Genomic DNA, 20,050 nt, shown 5'->3' with positions numbered 1-20,050 from the left:
GAAAAATTGTAGAGACAGAGTCTTGCTGTGTTGCTCAGGCTGGTCTTGAACTCCTGGCCTCAAGTGATCCTCCCACCTTGGCCTCCCAAAGTGTTAGGACTGCAGGTATAAGCCACTGTGCCTGGCCTGGTTCATTTTTTTAAATCTTTTTTTTTTTTCCATCTACATCAGAAAGTTGTTTTATTTGGTCATATAGTCGAGTAGAAGATGTTTGAAGTAACTGGAGGGCTAACCAGATGCTTCAACAAATTAATCATTGATATTCAACATAAACATTTATTTTGCCTTTACTCATGAAAATAATAAAGTTATATGACCTATATATTTTTATTTATAAGTTTTTAAATTTAATATATTTTTATTTCAATAGCTTTGGAGTACAAGTGGTTTTTGGTTACATGGATGAATTATATCATGGTGAATTCTGAGATTTTAGTGCATCTGTTACCTGAGTAATACACATTTTACCCAATATGTAGTTTTTTATTCCTTTCCCCTGCCCTCTTCTGAGTCTCTAGAATCCATTATATCACTCTGTATGCCTTTGTGTACTCATAGTTTATCTCCCACTTATAGGTGAGAACATGCAGTATTTGGTTTTCCATTCCTGAGTTAGTTCACTTAGAATAATGTATCCAGCTTTATCAAAGTTGTTGTAAAAGACATTATTTCATTCCTTTTTTATGGCTGAGTAGTATTCCGTTGTGTGTGTATGCCATGTTTTCTTTACTCATTTAACTTATATATTTTTCAACAAAAACATAATTCTTTGAAGAATGACAGATGTCTGATATCAATCAACATGGATAAAAGGACTAACTTCTTCCATGTAATAAACATGTTCATATTTCTCTGAAATGACAGAATAGGCCTTTTCCCCTTTTATGGTCCATTTCACTATGGTGTTTAATTGATCAGTCGAGAATGAAGAAAACATTCTTTGAAAAGTATCTGCCAGAATTTTGTTTAGAATGGTCAGCCTTAACTGAAGATAGGATTTAAAAAGTATACCTGTAAGTAGACCTTTTTAGACTTTTTATTATGAAAGTTGCATACATACACAGAATCGTAGAGAATTGTCTAATGAAGTTCCATATACCTCCTCTCCAGATTCTTTAATGAACCTCCATGTACCCATTCCCCAGATTCATTAATTACTGACATTTTGGTTATTTGTATTTCATATATTTTTTTGAGACAGGGTCCTACTTGTTGCTCAGGTTGAAATGCAGTGGTGAAATCACAGCATGCTGCAGCCTTGACCTCCTAAGTACAAACAGTCCTCCCACCTCAGCCTCCACAGTAGCTGGGATTACAGGTATGCATCACCATGACCAGCTAATTTTTAAGTTTTTTTGTAGAGCCACAGTCTCACTATGTTGCTCAAGCTGGTCTTAAAATCCTGGGCTCAAGCTGTCTTCTTGCCTTGGCCTCCCAGAGTGTTAGGATTACAGGCATGAGCCACTGTGTCCAGCCATGTGCTTTTTTAAACTGTTAAATTCTCACAGAGATCATAAAACAGTGGTAGTATTGGTGTACCAATTTTTTTTCTGAGTTTTTTCCCGAAATTTTGTTATAAGTAGAGAAACATAAAAAACATTGTGTTTTAGCTCAGAGATTGACTTTGGACAAATGGTAATTATGAAACTGTTTTTGTCTTTAGCTGCTTTTTGTCAATTCATAGCCTGGAAAAGAAAAAGAAGGATTAATTTTTATGCTTTTCATTAGAATAAATTAGTTTAAGTACTCCGTATCTGTAGAATAAGGTACTGTTCATCTGGAAAGTTTGGTTAGTGTAATATCTTAGGAATGCAATTCCTAAGATACTGGAATTGTCTAAATGTTCTTCTTTTGCCTTTTCTTTCTCTAAAACCTTCATCATTGCAGTGCTTTAACTGCCACCTCTTTTTTAGGCCCCAAACCTACATCACTGTTTAAACTTGAGGTCTAAATATTCGTCTATGTCTTGAAATGAAACGTATTTAAATACCATCTCTGTAGCAGCTGTATACCAACATGACCCCTCCCCACTCCCTCCAGCCAAAACACTTCTCTTCCTGACTTCCCTCTTCAGCTGTTAATGACTCCACTATTCTTATTGGTCATTTTGACTTTTCCTTCTTAAACTCAGTGAGTCACTAAATTCTTTTGTTTCTAACTTTATGTCTCTTTATCTTTTTGTCCTTTTGATTTTCACTACACTTGTCCTAATTTGGTTAATGTGGTAAAGCAGGATGTTATCCCGAGTCTATAATGAACTTCATACATATCAAAATTAAGATATGCCCTCGATGTAAAATAGGACATTTTCTTCCCTTCCAGAGAAGGCCTCAGTGTGGGGGCGCGTGCCTGTAGTCCCAGCTACTCAAGAGGCTGAGGTGGGAGGGTCACTTGAACCCAGGAGGTTGAGGCTGCAATGAGCCATGATCATGCCACTGCACTCCAGTCTGGATGACAGAGAGAGCCTCTGTTTTTAAAAATTAAATTAAAAAAAAAAAAGGCTTCAGTCAGCCTTTAGGCAGACACATCATTTTTAAGACCTAGGTAATAATTATATTTAAACCAAGGTGATATGGAAGATTGCCAAATCACTCAGCTCAGATAACCTGGTGAATAGTGGTGGCTGGCAGTGCCCATGATTTTTCAAGGAGTTTGAGCAGCAGACTTTCTTAGACCACAGACTGTGGCCCAGGATGAATTCTCCCCAGCCCGGAATACCTGCAAGTGCTTTGTAGTAGGGGAAATGCTGAACCGAGTATATATAACACATTTTCAGGACTTTCTAGTGTTTTCATGGGAGAAAGTACAGGTCTTTTCTTTGGGTTTATTTGAAGACTCTCTTCTTATCCCATGTCTCATATTTCCTGACCAAGATAGTTCCCTTTAAAAATCCACCTTTGCTGGGCTGGGTGTGGTGGCTCATGCCTGTAATCCCAGCACTTTGGGAGGCCGAGGCGGGCGGATCACAAGGTCAGGAGATCGAGACCACTCTGGCTAACACAGTGAAACCCCGTCTCTACTAAAAATACAAAAAATTAGCTGGGTGTGGTGGCAGGCGCCTGTAGTCCCAGCTACTTGGGAGGCTGAGGCAGGAGAATGGAGTGAACCCGGGAGGCGGAGCTTGCAGTGAGCCGAGATTGCGCCACTGCACTCCAGCCTGGGCGACAGAGGGAGACCACGTCTTAAAACAAAACAACACAACAAAACAAAACAAAAATCCACCTTCGCTGAAAATGACGTGACACTCTATTTCATTACTCTGCCTTCTCTTTGCAGGCTTCTGGAATTGGTTTGTCAGAAAGCTAGGAGCTTGAGCTTAGTTGGGAGGAGATAAAATAGAAATGAGATTATAAGTGATCTCCTTTGTTCTTCCCACTAGCAGTTGTCTAGCTTCCAGGGGTCTTGGGCCTGATTCCTTTCCAAATGGGTGGTAGTTTTTACTTGTTTTTGGTCAGTTTATGGAGATTTCTTTCTTATTTCTGCCCTTTTGGGAAATGTTAAAATTTCCTCCTGGTACAAACCAAGACCCAGTTTAAGTAATTACTGACTTTGGGGATAAGGGAATGAAATACTATATTGCCCTAGATAATTGAGAACATCTGATTATTTTCTCTGATGGAACTACAGATAATATAGGGATTTGGAAATGCTTATGCAGAAAATAATTTAATGATTATTAAGGGTGGAAAAAAGAGAAAAATAAACCATTCCTAGGAAGCCTGGTATGGTAGGACTAGACACTGGAATGAGATTCAGGAGTGTTGCCACTAAGTTGCTGTATGATCTTGGGCGTGTTAAAATTACTTAACCATTCCGAGCCTTTATTTATAAAATGAGTGGGTTGGATTTTAGGTAGTATCTTAAGGTCCCTCTGCAGTTCTGAAATTCTAAGATGAGTGGTTTCTCAGGAAAAAAAACTGATTTATATGCTGTTCCTAGTTAATGATTTTTCAGGGGCTGTTTCTCATACATACTTTTCTGTTTCCGATAGCGGTTAGGAGAAGAAATAATTAAAGGTGTCAGCGTTTCTAAAGTGGATTTAGATTTATTTATGTTTCTCCACTGAATTTATCCTGGACCCTTACTTTCACCTTCTATTAATATTTGTATCCACTCTCCTGCTTTTCTTGCCTTTTCTTTTTCTATTTGCTTTACACTATGACGTCAAATCCCTCTTTTTCTCTTCTTGCTGCTGCTTTTGTCCAGCTGTCCTTCATTACCCATATTTCATTATGACTGTGGAATTTATCAAATAGGCCCTTGAGTCTAAGCTATTACTGATTTAAATTCAGATGTCCCAATAGTTGTTAGGATTAATAGGACCCTTCTACTCTGTTATACAGCAACTGGAGAGAGGAGTCCTAGGGTTAGAGGGGGTGGGCAAGCCTGAGGGTAGAAGGAATGGTGTAGAAGAGAATTCCAAGGATTGTTTTGATTTTGCCCCTAAAATATAAGTTAAAATCCTAAGTTTCGATGATGATGACTTTTGCACTGATAAAAGTTTGATCCTGAAGTCATAATGGACTGTGAGAGTTTCTTGAAGGCAGAGCTGAACTTCTAATTCTGAATCCACAGCATTCAGTAATGCTGAAGTATTGCTGCTGCTAAGTGCAAGTTGAATTAAATTGTTAGGATTGATGCTTTCTTCCCTCAAGGTGTTTTGTGGTAGGCTGGGGATTAAGAGTATGGTATAGACTTGTTTTTTTGAGACGGAGTGTTTCTCTGTCACCCAGGCTGGAGTGCAGTGGCGTGATCTCGGCTCACTGCAACCTCTGTCTCCCAGGTTCAAGCGATTCTCTTGCCTCAGCCTCCTGAGTAGCTGGGATTACAGGCATGTGCCACCACGCCCAGCTAATGTTTGCATTTTTAGTAGAGACGGGGTTTCACCATGTTGGTCAGGCTGGTCTCAAACTCCTGACTTTGTGATCCACCCGCCTCGGCCTCCCAAAATGCTATATCTGTAGAATCCGTAGAATCCGGGATTACAGGCGTGAGCCACCACACCCAGCCTAGAGTATGGTATAGACTCGTGTAAGACTTCAGTGAATCTTATCACTACCACTTTGTGGTATGGGATAAGATACTTATTTTCTGTAAGTCTCAGTTTCCTCAACTATAACATGCGAGAGGGACAAAATGAGCACTTACCTCAAGGTTGTTGTGAGGATTAAATGAGACAATACATGTAAAGCACTTAGCTCAGCGCCTAGTATGTCTTCACTAAATATTAAATACTAGTGTAGTTTCATTAATAAGTACTGCTGTGTTCCAGATATTTATTAAGTTCTGCTAGGTTCTAAGTAGGGTTAACAAAATGAACAGGACATGATCCTGCTCTCAGAAAGGACAGAACATATGCACAAAAGATAATTAACAACCTAGATCCAATGGTAAGTGGCAAAGGAGTGGTTTACTTAAGGGCTCAAGAGGCTAAGCAAATGAGAACTTCAGGAAGGTGACAGAACTTGATCTCAGCTTTGAAGGACTAATTAGCAAGTTGACAGTCTCCTTGGAGCCAGACTGCTTGTGTTTGAATCCTAGTTCTGCTACTGTGTCATCTTAAGCAAGTGACGTGATCTCTCGCCTAGGATTGTTGAGAGAATTAAATGAGTTAATACATGTAAAACACTTAGAATGGTTCCGCAAACATTGTTAGAGCTTGATAAATTATTATTAATAAGTTGAGAGAAGGGAGAATGCATTTCAGATAGAACATTGAGTGATAATGAAGGGGAGATACTCTAGGTTTGTTTGAAGTGATGAAGCCAAATTGGTTAGAGGGATAGCTTGTTGGAAATTAGTGGATGAATATGTCGGGGCACAGTTATGAATAGGTAAGCCAAGAAGTGTGACATCTTTTCCATATGTACTGAGGGAACTTGGAAAGACTCTTGGGTTACTTGTCAACTCTTATGTGTTACAGATAATTTCTAAGTCTGTATCTCCAGCATTTCTACCTTCCTTGATTTCAAAATAACTGAAACTTCTATTCAAGCTAATTTTGATAGTAAAGCTCATAATCTTCTAAACTGGGCCATTATGCTTCTTTATTTGCTCATTTATTTTTGTAAATGTTTTTGGCTTTCTCTTTTTCTCTGTATTCTAGTTGTTTACATAATCCTCACTCCTTTTCTCCAAAGTTTAGTGGGTTTCTGCTAGTGTTTCCTCTCTGTCCTCAAAACCCCAGTCTAGATCCTAAATCATCAAGCCATAAGGTGGAAAGGACCAGAGAGAGGGAGAAAGGGAAGAAGGAAGGGAACCATCCTCTAGTCCAGCCATCTTGTTTTACAGATGAGGAAATTGAGGTTCAGAGGAAGTAGAGGCATATGCTCAAGATCCACAGCTACCGAATGAGCAGGGCTGCCCCTTTCAGGACTAGATGAAGGCTGTTTTATACTCTCATCTCAGTGTGATTCTCAGCTATCTGGGTGGGAATTATAGTAGTACAATAAATAAATTTTCTGTTATTACTATTAAGCACCAAGACAAAAAATAGTTTTATTACCAGGAACTATATGATAATAATTCAACCTTATTAATAAGCCCATGATTGTATTTCTCAGATGAGCCTCACTATTCTTAATACTTAAAACCAAGTCTCCAAAATCTGCTTTGAGAAGAGGGTTTCTTGCTTTCATTTTTAGAGTTGTAAATTATAAATATAATAGTATTATAAACATAAATAGTATTCTCAAAAGAATGGACTTTTTGTTTCTGTTTTCTTCTTTTTTTTTCTTTTGAGACAGGGTCTTGCTCTGTTGCCCAGGCTGGAGTGCAGTGGCACTCTCAAAGCTCCTTCCCAGGCTCAAGCGTTCTTCCCACCTCAGCCTCCCAAGTAGTTGGGACTAAAGGTGCACACCACCGCACCTGGCTAATTTTTAAATTTTCTGTAGAGATGGGGTCTCACTCTGTTGCCTAGGCTGGTCTTGAACTCCTGGCCTCAAGTGATCTGCCTGCCCTGGCCTCCCAAAGTGCTGGGATTACAGGCAGGAGCCACGGCACCCAGCCAATCTCTTAGATTTTAATATATGCCACACACAACACATAATGGTATGTTATGTATTCAAGCATTTTCTTCTACATTGTTTTTCTACCTAGATGTAATGTGATAGAAGGTATAAAGCCCTAAGCTTAGCGTCTGGCCATACCAGTTGCTCAATAAATATTCTCTTCCCTTTTTACAGGGCTGGTAATTTTTTCTCTTATATAATGTTAATTCCCAATCACCAATTCACTATCACATCACTTCCTTTTCTTCCCTGGAAACGTATGTTTAAATACATTTGCCCTCTCTGCATTTTGAACATTTGCATAATGTACAAGTACTTTTTTTCTTTTTTTTTTTTGAGACGGAGTCTCTCTCTGTTGCCCAGGCTGGAGTGCAGTGGCGCGATCTCGGCTCACTGCAAGCTCCGCCTCTCAGGTTCACGCCATTCTCCTGCCTCAGCCCCCCGACTAGCTTGGGCTACAGGCGCCTGCCACTACGCCAGCTAATTTTTTGTATTTTTTTTTTTAGTAGAGACAAGTTTTCACCGTGTTAGCCAGAATGGTCTCAATCTCCTGACCTTGTGATCCGCCCGCCTCAGCCTCCGAAAATGCTGGGATTACAGGCGTGAGCCACCGCCTCCAGCCACAAATACTTTTTAGTCGCCATAAGCATAATCAAGAAATCATTTTGCAAATGGTAAGCTTTTCATGTTGTGTATTCTTTCCCATGATTAGAGAGGTAAAAAGTGGCCTGGGATGCATAAAGATGTCGTAGACCTCTGCAATCTGCCACATTATTTCTTTAAAAAAAAAAAAAAGCAAGCTTCTGGACTAGATTGATTTTTACTGAAATATTAATTTTTCTTTATTATTTTTAAACACTGAAGTTGAATTGTATAATTCACAAATGCCTATACAAAACTTTTTTCCATGTCCTCAATACTTTGTATCAGATTATTTATATTTCTCATGGTTTGGTTTCTTTTTCTTGTCTTCATTTTTCTGAAGGTAAAAGGGGATTTTTTCCCCCCTTTTCTGATCTGTAACTTGTTTTGTATTTGGATGATTACCCTTTATAACAAATTTTATCTTCTAATTATGCTATTAAGCGAGAAGATAGTGGCCGGTCACGGTCGCTCACGCCTGTAATCCCAGCACTTTGGGAGGCCGAGGTGGGCGGATCATGAGGTCAGGAGATCGAGACCATCCTGGCTAACACAATGAAACCCAGTCTCTACTAAAAATACAAAAAATTAGCTGGGCGTGGTGGCGGAAGCCTGTAGTCCCAGATGCTGGGGAGGCTGAGGCAGGAAAATGGTGTGAACCCGGGAGGCGGAGCTTGCAGTGAGCCGAGATCGCGCCACTGCACTCCAGCCTAGACGACAGAGTGAGACTCCGTCTCAAAAAAAAAAAAAATTCTTCTAAATTAGATTTTAGGGTTCTTTTGAGGGCTGAGTTTGTGTGTGTAGGTTTCTCTTAGCCCCTTCATATATTGTGTTGGAACTTCTGTTTCTATTTTTTAAATGTTTTCTTATGTTGAATTATTTTATTGCTGTTTGAAAAAAATATGTTAAAACTGTATTTATGGGTGGTTGCTAGCCTTTTAAATTTACATAGTAATAAATTTTGCTGTTAACTTCATTCTTAGAATATGAAGTTTTTTGTAATTTAACTTCTTTAGGTATTTACCCTGCAATTCTGATACCTTGAGAGAGAAAGGGATAATTGACTTTTTCACTTTCATTTTATAGATACTATTTGGCTACCTTGTTCCTTCCCTTTATTTTCATTTTATTTGTGTCTCCTAAAAGTGGGGACCTTTTAATATAATGTTAGGCGCTTTATAGGCTGTCTTTTCTTTTATAAAATGTGTTCATTTCACTTTTCCATTTTTAATATGACTATATTCTAGATTTTCTGTAATTCATGATATATTTTTTAAGATTTTGGCTAGATTTGTCAGTTTGGATTGTAGTTTCTTTTAACTTGTTTTTGTTTATTTATTTATTATTTTTTTTTTTTTTTGAGACAGGATTGCACTCTCTTACCCAGGCTGGAGTGCAGTGGTGCGATCTCAGCTAACTGCAACTTCTACCTCCCTGGCTCAAGCAATCCTTCCACCTCAGCCACCCAAGTAGGTGGGACTACAGGTGTGCACCACCATGCCCAACTAACTTTTCTATTTTTTGTGGAGACAGGGTTTGGTTTTACCGTTTTGCCCAGGCTGGTCTCAAACTCCTGGGTTCAAGGGATCGTCTCACTTTGGCCTCAGAAAGTGCTGGGATTACAGGCATGAGCCACTGCACCTGGCTTATTAATTTCATTAATACTTTGCTTTTACCTCCATTTAACAAACTTTGGTATTACCATATATGAGATATTTTCATGTGTATGTGTGCATTTATATTTTTTAAATATGTGACTGAGTTTTTTCCCTTTTTCTTAGATTCCTAGGCTATTTCAATATTTTTATACCTGTTGTCTACTCTGCAGCTAATGACACAGATAGCAGTATATGAGTTTTTCTTTTCTTTTCTTTTCTTTCTTTTTTTTTTTTGAGATGGAGTCTTGCTTTGTTGCCCAGGCTGGAGTGCAGTGGCACGATCTTTTCTCACTGCAACCTCCGCCTCCCAGGTTCAAGCGATTCTTGTGCCTCAGCCTCCCGAGTAGCTGGGATTACAGGTGCCCACCACCACACCCGGCTAATTTTTTTTTGTATTTTTAGTAGAGTCGGGGTTTCACCATATTGGCCAGGGCGAACTTCTAACCTCAAGTGATCCACCCGCCTCAGCCTCCCAAAGTGTTAGGATCACAGGCATGAGCCACCGTGCCCACTGAGAATTTAATACACTTTATGTAAGTTAATTTTTTATGATAGTTATCTAGCTTTGCCAGACCAATTTTGTTAGTAAATTTAAAACATTAAAAAATTTTGAATCCTCCTAATTCTGTGTCTCTAATTTAGTAATTTTAAGTTTTGATCCTTGTTTCATTCTATCATTCTTTTATTTAAAAAAATTGTCATTGGCTTTTCTAAAAGTGAATCGTGAATCATGATTCATGTGAAATAATTAACTCTAAAACAGCAAAGATACCTTTTAGAACCTTCATTTTTTATAAATTGCATTAACAAGTTATGCAGTGATGTGAAGATACAAACTAAGGTCATTAAGTTTTCTTTAATTTATAATTTATATTAACCTATTCATTGAAAAGGATTTGATAGTTTGTGATTAAAGCAAAACAGGCAAAGACCATTAAAAACAAAGACAGAAAATGAGCATAAATCACTTGAGAAATAATGAGCAGAATGGGGGAATGGGAAGAAATCTTTATACCAGTAATCTGAGGCAAGATAGTTTCTGTGTTTGAACATTAAATTTAGCTCTGAGCTTCCTGGCAAGCAAGAGAAAAAAGGAAACAGGGTGACTTTTATAGTTATTGTCCAGTAAAGAAAGCTTTTTCAATTTTTCAGAAGAGAGAAACTTTTTCTGAGTCATAAGTTATAAGAGGTTTGTTATGTGAATTCTTACATATGGAACATAATTTATATTTCTAATTTTGAAAATTATTGAATTTCTTCTGTTGCTGTCTTAGCCATCAGGTACCATTCTATGCATTGTAATTATATTGGTCATATTAAGTTCATGTCCACTGTTGTCAAAAGTGGAAATACCATGGCTGGGGTGTGTTTATGTATTGCCTCTAGAGCTGTAGCCACTGACGAACAGGAAACTGAAAGCTAAAAGTTCAGGAAATGTATTGTATTTAGACTGTGGAAAACATATATATGATACTTTACTGAAAACCATGCTCTTTTGAAAACTGAAATATGTATGTATTTAATTAGAGATGAATATTAAGGATTCATATCAGATGCTTAAATATGATAATAGATACAGTATGTGCATTGTAGGCCAGGAATATTGTGCAATGCTAGAAAAAAAGGCAACAGATTATTGTATGTATTCAGCTATATTCTTTCAAGAAACAAAACAGCTGGCACATCAATTGAATTCCTCAAGGATGTCTTATTTCCAGAGAATTCCAGAGTTTTAGTTTTAGCTTAGTTCCAAGGAAGAGGAGGTCCCTGTTTTACAGGATAGCCTATTTCAGTCTTAGGGAGTTCTAATGGTTAACTTCTGTTTTCATACACTGAATTTAACTTTGTTTTCCTGTGATTTATTAATACAGTCTATAGCTTTCTTAGAGTTGAGAAGAAAATGATTAATTGATCAAACTTTTTTTGAAAAGTTAATTGCATCTCAAGTGTTTTCTTAGATATTGTTTCATTTTAGGTTCCTTATAAAATACTTCCTACAGGAGTCTTTAGTTTTGAAGTTATAAAAAAAAATTATCAGAGGAAATATGACTAATGTATATGCTTGGTTGAGCTGCATTTTCTTACTGTTTCTATACTTAGTATTTTAACAGGATGTGATTGATAGGAATTTAACATTCTAATTCTTTAAGACAATCATGAAGTTCTGATAGTTTCTTAGAAATGGAAATTGTGTCATTATATTTTGTTGTTTTATTGTTGTGCATTTTAACAAAAGAGGTGACTTCACATGTACCCTAAAACTTAAAGTATAATAATAACAAACAAAACAAAACACATGTACCCTAAAACTTAAAGTATAATAATACAAAAAAAAGAAGAAAAAAAACAACAAAAGAGGTGACTTATAACTATTCCATTCCAGTTTTATGATATGAAATTGTAGTCACACAGAACATTTAGGGGCCACATTAAGTGAAAATTCCATTTATTACAAAGTTTTTAAAAGGATTTTTAGCTGTATTACATGTCACTTAATTATAATCAATTTAATAGTTTCATTAAAATTAGACTCTTTTCAGGATTGATTTTGGTTTTGGTCTGTTAGGGTTGTGTGTTTACCCCTGAACTGTTGTGGTAGCCAAAGGGATAGAAAGCACTGACTGGCAAAAAATGGACACTGGGCCTAGCCTAAGAGGGAGAAGCAGGGCTTCCCAGAGGAAAGTCCCGGGATGCTGTTTCCAGCATAAAGGGGAGTGGGCTCTGGGCTCACACAAGGAGTCTCAGCAAGGCCAGACCGTAAAGGGCTGGGTATAGTGGGAAGAAGAGTTGGATTTTATGCAGTGGCTGATCTGCTGTTGCCATAGAGGATTCTTTTTGAATAATAACTTTTACTTTCTTATTGTGTTACACACTCGTTGTAGAAAAATTAAATTAGTGAAGAAAATAAAATAAAAATTTCCTATAATTTTTTTCCCTTTTTGAATGTTCTTAGCTAATTTCCCTTAAACTTCATTTAACATTTAGGTTACTTTTTTTCTTTTCGAAAGAGTCTCACTCTGTCACCCAGGCTGGAGTGCAGTGGCGGGATCGCAGCTCACTGCAACATCTGCTTCCTGAGTTCAAGTGATTCTTCTGCCTCAGCCTCCTGAGCAGCTGGGATTACAGGCGCCCGCCACCATGCCTAGTTGATTTTTGTATCTTTAATAGAGAATTCTTCTGCCTCAGCCTCCTGAGTAGCTGGGATTACAGGCACCCGCCACCACGCCTGGCTGATTTTTGTATTTTTAATAGAGATGGGGTTTCACCATGTTGGCCAGGCTGATCTCAAACTCTTGACCTCAGGTGATCCACCTGCCTCGGCCTCCCAAAGTGTTGGGATTATAGGCATGAGCCACTGCACCCAGCCAACTAGGTTACTTCTTATTTGTTTATTTGAAAGAGTGCTTGTTGAATTGTTCTTTCCACAGATTATGCTTCTAATAACTTTAAATATTAATTATGGAGGAAACGGGTTAATCATTTTAAGGATTCTTTTTGGTTGATATAATGATTCTATTAATTAATATTTGTCTTATGGGAGCCATAAGCGTAATAGGCATAATGAGAGCACACACTTGTAAGTCAGAGTGGTTCTTACAGGGGAGACAGGAAAAATGGAGTCCAAAAGGCCTTTCTGTAAGTTCCTTGGGAGCAGGGACTAGGTCTTTCTTGTTCACCATTATGTCAGTATCAGGCACAATGCTTGACGCCTAGTAAGTGTTCCATAAATAGTTGAATGAATGGATGAGTTTCTCATTAAGCACTTTTAGTAGCTCATATTTCTTGTACTGTGGATAATCAAGATCAATTATATTCATCTAAGGTTAAGAGCCTTTGCTATACTCAGTTTTCTTTATTAATGTAAATTTAATAAACTGATTTTTTTAAAAGGCATGCATCTATGTATACACACACACACACACACACACACACACACACACACACAGACACACACACAAAACAAGTGAAAATTTATTGTTTCTTCCCCTGAGCCCCATTCTCCAGAATTAGCTACTATTAATGGCTTACTATATTTTTTCTAGGTATTTTCTCTTCATATACATTTTCTTTCTTTTCTTTTTTTTGAGAGAGTCTCGCTCTGTCGCCCAGGCTGGAGTGCAGTGGTGCAATCTCGGCTTACTGCAACCTCCCGAGTTCAAGGGATTCTCCTGCCTCAGTCTCCCGAGTAGCTGGGATTATAGGCGCCTGCCACCATGCCCGGCTAATTTTTGTATTTTTAGTAGAGACGGGGTTTCACTGTGTTGGCCAGGATGGTCTTGATCTCTTGAACTCGTGATCCGCCTGCCTCAGCTTCCCAAAGTTCTGGGATTACAGGCGTGAGCCACCGTGCCCAGCCTTCATATACATTTTCTTTACACAAATAGAATAATTATATTCTGTTCTATAAATAGCTTTTTTTCCCCTTCATGGCATTCTTAAACTTTCCATATCAATTCGTTTGTAACTGTGTCTTTATTTTTAATTATATAATTTTCCATTGTAGAGATGTATAATAGAAGTCTATGAAGGAAATCCACTCCCCTCCTTTTTTTTTTTTTTTTTTTTTTTTTAACTATAATAGTAGTGTTTCTGCATGTATTTTTGCTTGCTTCTGTGAGAATATCTACAGGTTATTTCCTGGAAGTGATATTGCTGGGCTAAAGGATATTTGCACATAAACTTTCAGTAGATATTGGGAAATTCGCCCTTAAAAATATTCAACAAATTTGTACTCTTACTAAAGATATGAAGTGTTATTTTTCTGATAACTGTACACACTTTAATTTTGTGGATTAGAAGGATTAAACTTCTGAAAATGAATCCTTGTCATAGTAGCTTGAGATGTTCAGAAGATGATACATTAGGTAATATATATGTTCCTTGGCTTATGGTGGTTTTACCTCCTGATAAACTCATTGTAAATAGAAAATATCACAAGTTGAAAATGCATTTAATATACCTAACTTACTGAACATCATAGCCTACCTTACACATGCTCAGAACACTTAAATTAGCCTACAGTTGGGCAAAACCATCTAATAGAATGCCTATTTTATAATGTGTTGAATGTCTCACATAATTTATTGAAAACTGAAAGTGAAAAAGCAGAATAGTTGTATGGGTGCTTGGAGTACTGTTTCTACTGAATGTGTATCGCCTTCTCACCATCATAAAGTTGAAACTCGTAACCCAAACCATAAGTTGGGGACTGTCCATAGTTCCATTGCCTGATGTGATCTGTTGAAGTTAGGTGGAAGATAGTGTACTATGACCTCTACAGACCCATAGTGTGTATTGTACAGATTTAGATGAAGAAGATCAGAATGTTGGGTTTCTAGGTTTTTATCTTTTTAGAATGTTTAAGATAAACATTTATGGCCAGGCACGGTGGCTCATGCCTATAATCCCAGCACTTTGGGAGGCCGAGGCGGGCGGATCATGAAGTCAAGAGATTGAGACCATTCTGGCAAACATAGTGAAACCCTATCTCTACTAAAAATACAAAAAAAATTAGCTGGGTGTGGTGGCACGCGCCTGTAGTCCCAGCTACTCGGGAGGCTGAGGCAGGAGAATTGCTTGAACCTGGGAGGCGGAGGTTGCAGTGAGCCGAGATCGCGCCACTGCACTCCAGCTTGGTGACAGAGTGAGACTCCTCTAAAAAAAAAAAAAAAGAGGAGCATTTACTAGTGACATTCTAAAGGAGCAGAAGACCCTGAGTGCTGGTTTGAGAAGTTTAGATTTGTTGTGTTGGAACACTATTTAAGGTCCATGAATTAGAGAGTAATGTGGTGGGTGTGCTGTGTCAGAAAGGCTTCACTAGCAGTGTATACAGAATGAGTGGGAGTGAGTGAGCCGTCTGGAGGTAGGCAGGTCCTCTGGAGAACTGTAGTAATTCACAAAGGAGAGGAAGAAAACTCAAAATATGATGATAGCTATGGAGTCGAAAGTAAGATAAGAAACACAATGAATAGTTGGCGGTCCTATTGATTAAGTGGAGAAAAATTATATTGAAGTTGCAAACCTAGGAGAATGGCCAGATAATACAGATTATGAAATAAATGGAGAAGGGACCAATTTTGAAAAAGTTAATTTTCCTTAAAAACATAAGGAAATAAAAGGGTCCTGAAGTGAGAGAAATCAAAGATTGGAGAAGGAAAGAGGGAGAAATTATGCCACTTTTAATTTCAGCTACTACCTCTATTAGGATTTGGGAGTTATACTAATAGAGGTAATAGTTGAAATTAAGAGTGGATGAGTTCTGGTATGAAGTGGTTGATGGGGACAACTGTTGATTGACAACTGCATTTTAAGGAGAGGATACTGATAGTAATGGGAGATGGGATGAAAGAATGCCCAGGCAGAGAGGAAATTTAATAATTTCAGGAGTGGGGAAAGAATAAAGACAAATGTTACTGCAGCCTACCTTTCATTCTTTTACTGTGCATGAGATACTGTATTTGCTGGATGTTTTCCTGTAGATACCACATTGTTCTTCCTCCGGGAGTGGCATGTCAGAAAATTTGATGATTATTTTAAAGATGTTGAGTTTTATTCCTGAAATTGAATATGGTAACGGAAAAAGGGTCTTGGGTAGTTTTTGGTGTCATATGCTGTGTTCCTTTTAGTTCATAAAATCTTTCATCTTGTTTGAATATCTGTGGGTCTAAAAAAAAAACAGCTAATTTTTGGATAGGTAAAAGTCCAGATACTTTGTACATTTTAATTGATTATTTAAAAAATATTCCCTGGCTTTTAAAACTTGGCTAATACAAATTGTAAGAATCACCATCTTTTTAGAAGAACATACTGTGAATTCAGAATTTTTGCTGGCTTAGTGCTTGTCAGCATGGAGCCTGTTCACAGGAAATGCTTTAGAATCAGAGTCAGAGACCTGTGACACTTCTGGGGAGTCAGTATGTAAAATAGTTAGAGTGCAGGCTCCAGAGTCAGTCTCCCTGGTTCCACTGTTCACTAGAAGTATATCCTTGGATAGATTACTTAGCTCGTCCATTAGATTTGCTGTCTGGACGTGTCAGTAGTAACAATCTCAATGTCACACGGTTATTGAAGAGATCCATCATAGAGCTTACATTCTAGTAAGGAGAGACAGGCAGTATACAAATACTATAAATACACTGGAGGAAAACATAGTGGGGCTGATTATAGTCGATTTTTGCTCTTTTATTTCCGGTAACAGTAAAACAACTCTGATAAGAAAAGGTTTGAACATGAAGGCAGACCTGAAGCGAGTGAGGGAGTGAGCTATGCAGCTAACCAGGGAAGAGTTCCAGGTAGTGGGGATAGCAAGTGCAAAGGCACTGAGGAAAGGGCACATGGGAGGGGGCAGCAAGAAGGCCACTGTAGCCAGAGCAGTGAGTGAGGGAAAAGGAGAAATAATTTCAGAGATAGCGAGTGATCAGCATGTATAGGGTATTAAGCATAAGAAGGACTTTGGATTTTATCCTGTGTGAGATGGGAAACCATTGGAGTGCCAGAGTAATTTTTTCTTAAAGCTAGTCTGCTTGTCATTTCTTTTCTTAAAAATGCCTCAGTTCCCTGTTGCCTTTGGAATAATGTTCACGTACTTTACTTTGGCACACAAGGTCCTTCACAGTCAGGCCTCTGCCTGTTTATTTAGCATCATCTGCTTCTTTCCCACATGTACCCTTCACTTTAGCCAAGTGGGATCACATGCAGCTCCCTGGATGGGTCATGATGCTTTGTGTCTTCGCGTCTTTCTGTACCGTTTGCCCTGTGAGAAGCCCTCCCCCTCAGCTCACATGGTCACTGGCTCTGTTTTAGAGGGTCCTCTTTGTGCTCTTGCTCTCTCATCATTTCCACCCGGAGCCACTTTGCACTTAAGCTGCTTAGGCTTGAAACGTGCTGTGTTCTTTTACCAGCCTTGATTTTACTCTTGCCACACCCTTGCCGGTTGAAAGTATGCCTATCCAGCTCAGACACTGCCATCTTCTGCCTCCTTGGGACCCTCAGAAACACTTTGTAGCTCTCTTCTACCTAATAATAATTATTTGGAATTAAAATGTTTCTTTGCCTTCACAAAAAATCCTTGGGCTAACTTATTTCAGTTTTCTTTGTAGCTCCTAGAACAGGGTCTTACAGACATTTCATATTCAGTAGGTATTCATGGTGTGTAGGATTCATAGTATAATTAGAAAACTATTGGCTTTCAAACAACTAAGGGCCAAAAGCAGCAAAAATGAATGCACAATTAAAATGAGTTCCTATTAACAAAACAAATTTACTGTAATTATGATAGCTAGGTAATCCTTGTTCTCTTATATATTTATATATACTTACTAGTGGCACCAAATATTAGTATACCCAGTTTGAGATGCAGTTTGTTGAAATATATTTGGACACAGCCAGGCGTGATGGCTCACATCTGTAATCCCAGCACTTTGGGAGGCTGAGGTGGCAGGATCGCTTGAGCCCAGGAGTTCAAGAACAGCCTGGGCAACATAGTGCGACCTTGTCTCTACAAAAAAAAAAAAAAATTAAAAAATTAGCTGGGTGTGGTTGTGCATGTCTCTAATCCCAGCTACTCAGAAGGCTGAGGTGGGAGGACTATTTGAGCCTGGCAGGTTGAGGCTGTAGTGAGCCATGACTGTGCCACTGTACTCCAGCCTGAGCAACAGAGCAAAACTCTGTCTCAAAAAAAAAAAAAAAAGACACGTAAATAAATGCTCATGGTTTTTGACAAGGTCATACCACTTCTGAAAATCTTCTTAAGAAAATAATACAAACTAGCCAGCCACAGTGGCTTTTGCATGTAAATCTCAGCAACTTGGAAGACTGAGGCAGGAAGATCACTTGAGCCCAAGAATTTGAGATCAGCCTGGGCAACATAGCAAGACCTTGTCTCTATTAAAAAAATAAATAAATAAAAAAGAGAAAGTAACAAAAACTAAATGATAATTACAACATCTACTACTACTAATGTTGAAAGTATACCATGTAACAGGCACTGTACAAAGCCCTTTATGTGCATTACTTTAGTCCTCACAATCCCAAGAGATGTTGATAACTGATAACCTTGTGTTTTAGATAGGGAAACTGTGGCACAAAGAAGGTAAGTGACTTGCACAAGATCATACAGTTGCTATGTTGTCAAGCTAAGATTCTCACTCAAGCAGACTGTGTTCAAGAAGCCATACTCTTTTTTTTTTTTTTTTTGAGACGGAGTTTTGCTCTTGTCACCCAGGCTGTAGTGTGCAGTGGCTCGATCTCTGCTCACTGCAACTGCCTTCTGGGTTCAAGTGATTCTCCTGCCTTAGCCTCCTGAGTAGCTGGGATTACAGGCACTTGCCACCACACCCGGCTAATTTTTGTATTTTTAGTGGAGACGGGGTTTCACCATGTTGACCAGGCTAGTCTTGAACTCGTGACCACAGGTGATCTGCCCACCTCAGCCTCCCAAAGTGCTGGGATCAGGCACGAGTCACCGCGCCCAGCCAAGAAGCCATACTTTCAATTACATATGATAAAAGCTTAGGCACAAAAATGTTCATAGCAGTGTTATATAGTATTAATAAGTTGGAAGGAATGTATATCATTCATGAATTATGGTCATCCATTGAGTAGAATAATTTTTTAGCAGCTTAATTGAGATAAAATTCACATACCATAATATTCTCCCCTTTAAAGTGTACAATTCAGGCCGGGTGTGGTGGCTCATGCCTGTAATCCCAGTACATTGGGAGGCTGAGATGAGAGGATCACTTGAGACCAGGAGTTCAAGACCAGCCTGCTCAATGTAGCGAGACCCCATATCTCTATAAATAAATAAATACATAAAATAAGGTAAATCAAAAATAAAATAAAGTATATAATTCAGTGGTTTCCAGCATATTTCCAGATTTGTGCAACTATTACTGCTGTCCCACTTTGGAACATTTATAACCCTAAAAAGAAATCTCCCACTCCCCATTTCCTCCTGTTTCCCCTAACCCTAAGCAACCACCAGTCTCCTTTCTGTCTCTATGAATTTGCCTATTCTGAACCTTTCGTATAAATGGGATCATATAATGTATGGCCTTTCATGATTGGCTGCCTTCAAGTGAAATTAATAGTCCTAAATATGCACCTAATAACAGAGCTTCAAGATACATGAATCAGAAACTGATAGAACTTGAAAGGATAAGTAGATCTAAAATTATAGTTGGAGATTTCAATACCTCACCTGTCTCTCAATAATTGATAGAACAAGTAGACAAAAAATAATTTAGAAGATGTGAACTACATTGTCAACTAACCTAATTGACATTTACATAGTATTCTACCCAATACAAGCAGAATACACATTCTTTTCAGTTGCACACAGCACAGGACATTTAATAAGATAGATCATATTTTTGTTCATAAAATAGTGTCAGTGTTGGCCAGGCGCGGTAGCTCATGCCTGTAATCCCAGCACTTTGGGAGGCCGAGGCGGGAGGATCACCTGAGCTCGGGAGTTTGAGACCAGCCTGACCAACATGGAGAAACCCTGTCTCTACTAAAAATACAAAATCAGCCGGGCGTGGTGGTGCATGCCTATAATCCCAGCTACTCAGGAGGCTGAGGCAGGAGAATCGCTTGAACCTGGGAGGCACGGGTTGCGGTGAGCTGAGATTGCGTCATTGCACTCCAGCCTGGGCAACAAGAGCAAAACTCCGTCTCAAAAAAAAAAAAAAAAAAAAATAGCATCAATGCATTTAAAGTGACTTAGATCATAAAGTA

General features: G+C 38.5%; 1 protein-coding gene and 1 non-coding gene across 5 annotated transcripts in view, besides 3 other annotated features; both read left to right on the top strand.

Moving 5' to 3' along the window:
• The window catches only part of FKBP5 (FKBP prolyl isomerase 5), a 154,994-nt gene that overhangs the window by 48,308 nt on the left and 86,636 nt on the right, over window positions 1-20,050 (top strand). The gene's annotated exons all lie outside the window — the stretch shown is intronic.
• Window positions 7,971-8,170: a silencer, noted in NCBI's record as "fragment chr6:35639883-35640082 (GRCh37/hg19 assembly coordinates)". NCBI's record gives its function as "represses an EF-1alpha promoter that drives an FKBP-Casp9 reporter gene in an ReSE screen in HepG2 liver carcinoma cells and phorbol 12-myristate 13-acetate-treated (for megakaryocytic differentiation) K562 erythroleukemia cells {active_cell/tissue: HepG2 | K562(+PMA)}" and the evidence as "EXISTENCE:reporter gene assay evidence [ECO:0000049][PMID:32094911]".
• Window positions 15,487-15,559, top strand: MIR5690 (microRNA 5690). Its single transcript, NR_049873.1, has one exon. It is a non-coding gene; the product is annotated as a microRNA 5690 (primary transcript).
• Window positions 16,579-17,078: an enhancer, noted in NCBI's record as "H3K27ac hESC enhancer chr6:35630975-35631474 (GRCh37/hg19 assembly coordinates)". NCBI's record gives its function as "activates a minimal SCP1, AML or CMV promoter by ChIP-STARR-seq in primed H9 embryonic stem cells {active_cell/tissue: H9 hESC(primed)}" and the evidence as "EXISTENCE:reporter gene assay evidence [ECO:0000049][PMID:30033119]".
• Window positions 17,079-17,580: an enhancer, noted in NCBI's record as "H3K27ac hESC enhancer chr6:35630473-35630974 (GRCh37/hg19 assembly coordinates)". NCBI's record gives its function as "activates a minimal SCP1, AML or CMV promoter by ChIP-STARR-seq in primed H9 embryonic stem cells {active_cell/tissue: H9 hESC(primed)}" and the evidence as "EXISTENCE:reporter gene assay evidence [ECO:0000049][PMID:30033119]".

The sequence above is a fragment of the Homo sapiens genome, chromosome 6 (assembly GCF_000001405.40).
Source record: "Homo sapiens chromosome 6, GRCh38.p14 Primary Assembly".
NCBI lineage: Eukaryota > Metazoa > Chordata > Mammalia > Primates > Hominidae > Homo > Homo sapiens.
Note: the sequence above shows the minus strand (reverse complement) of the source record. Positions and strands in the feature narration are given on the sequence as shown.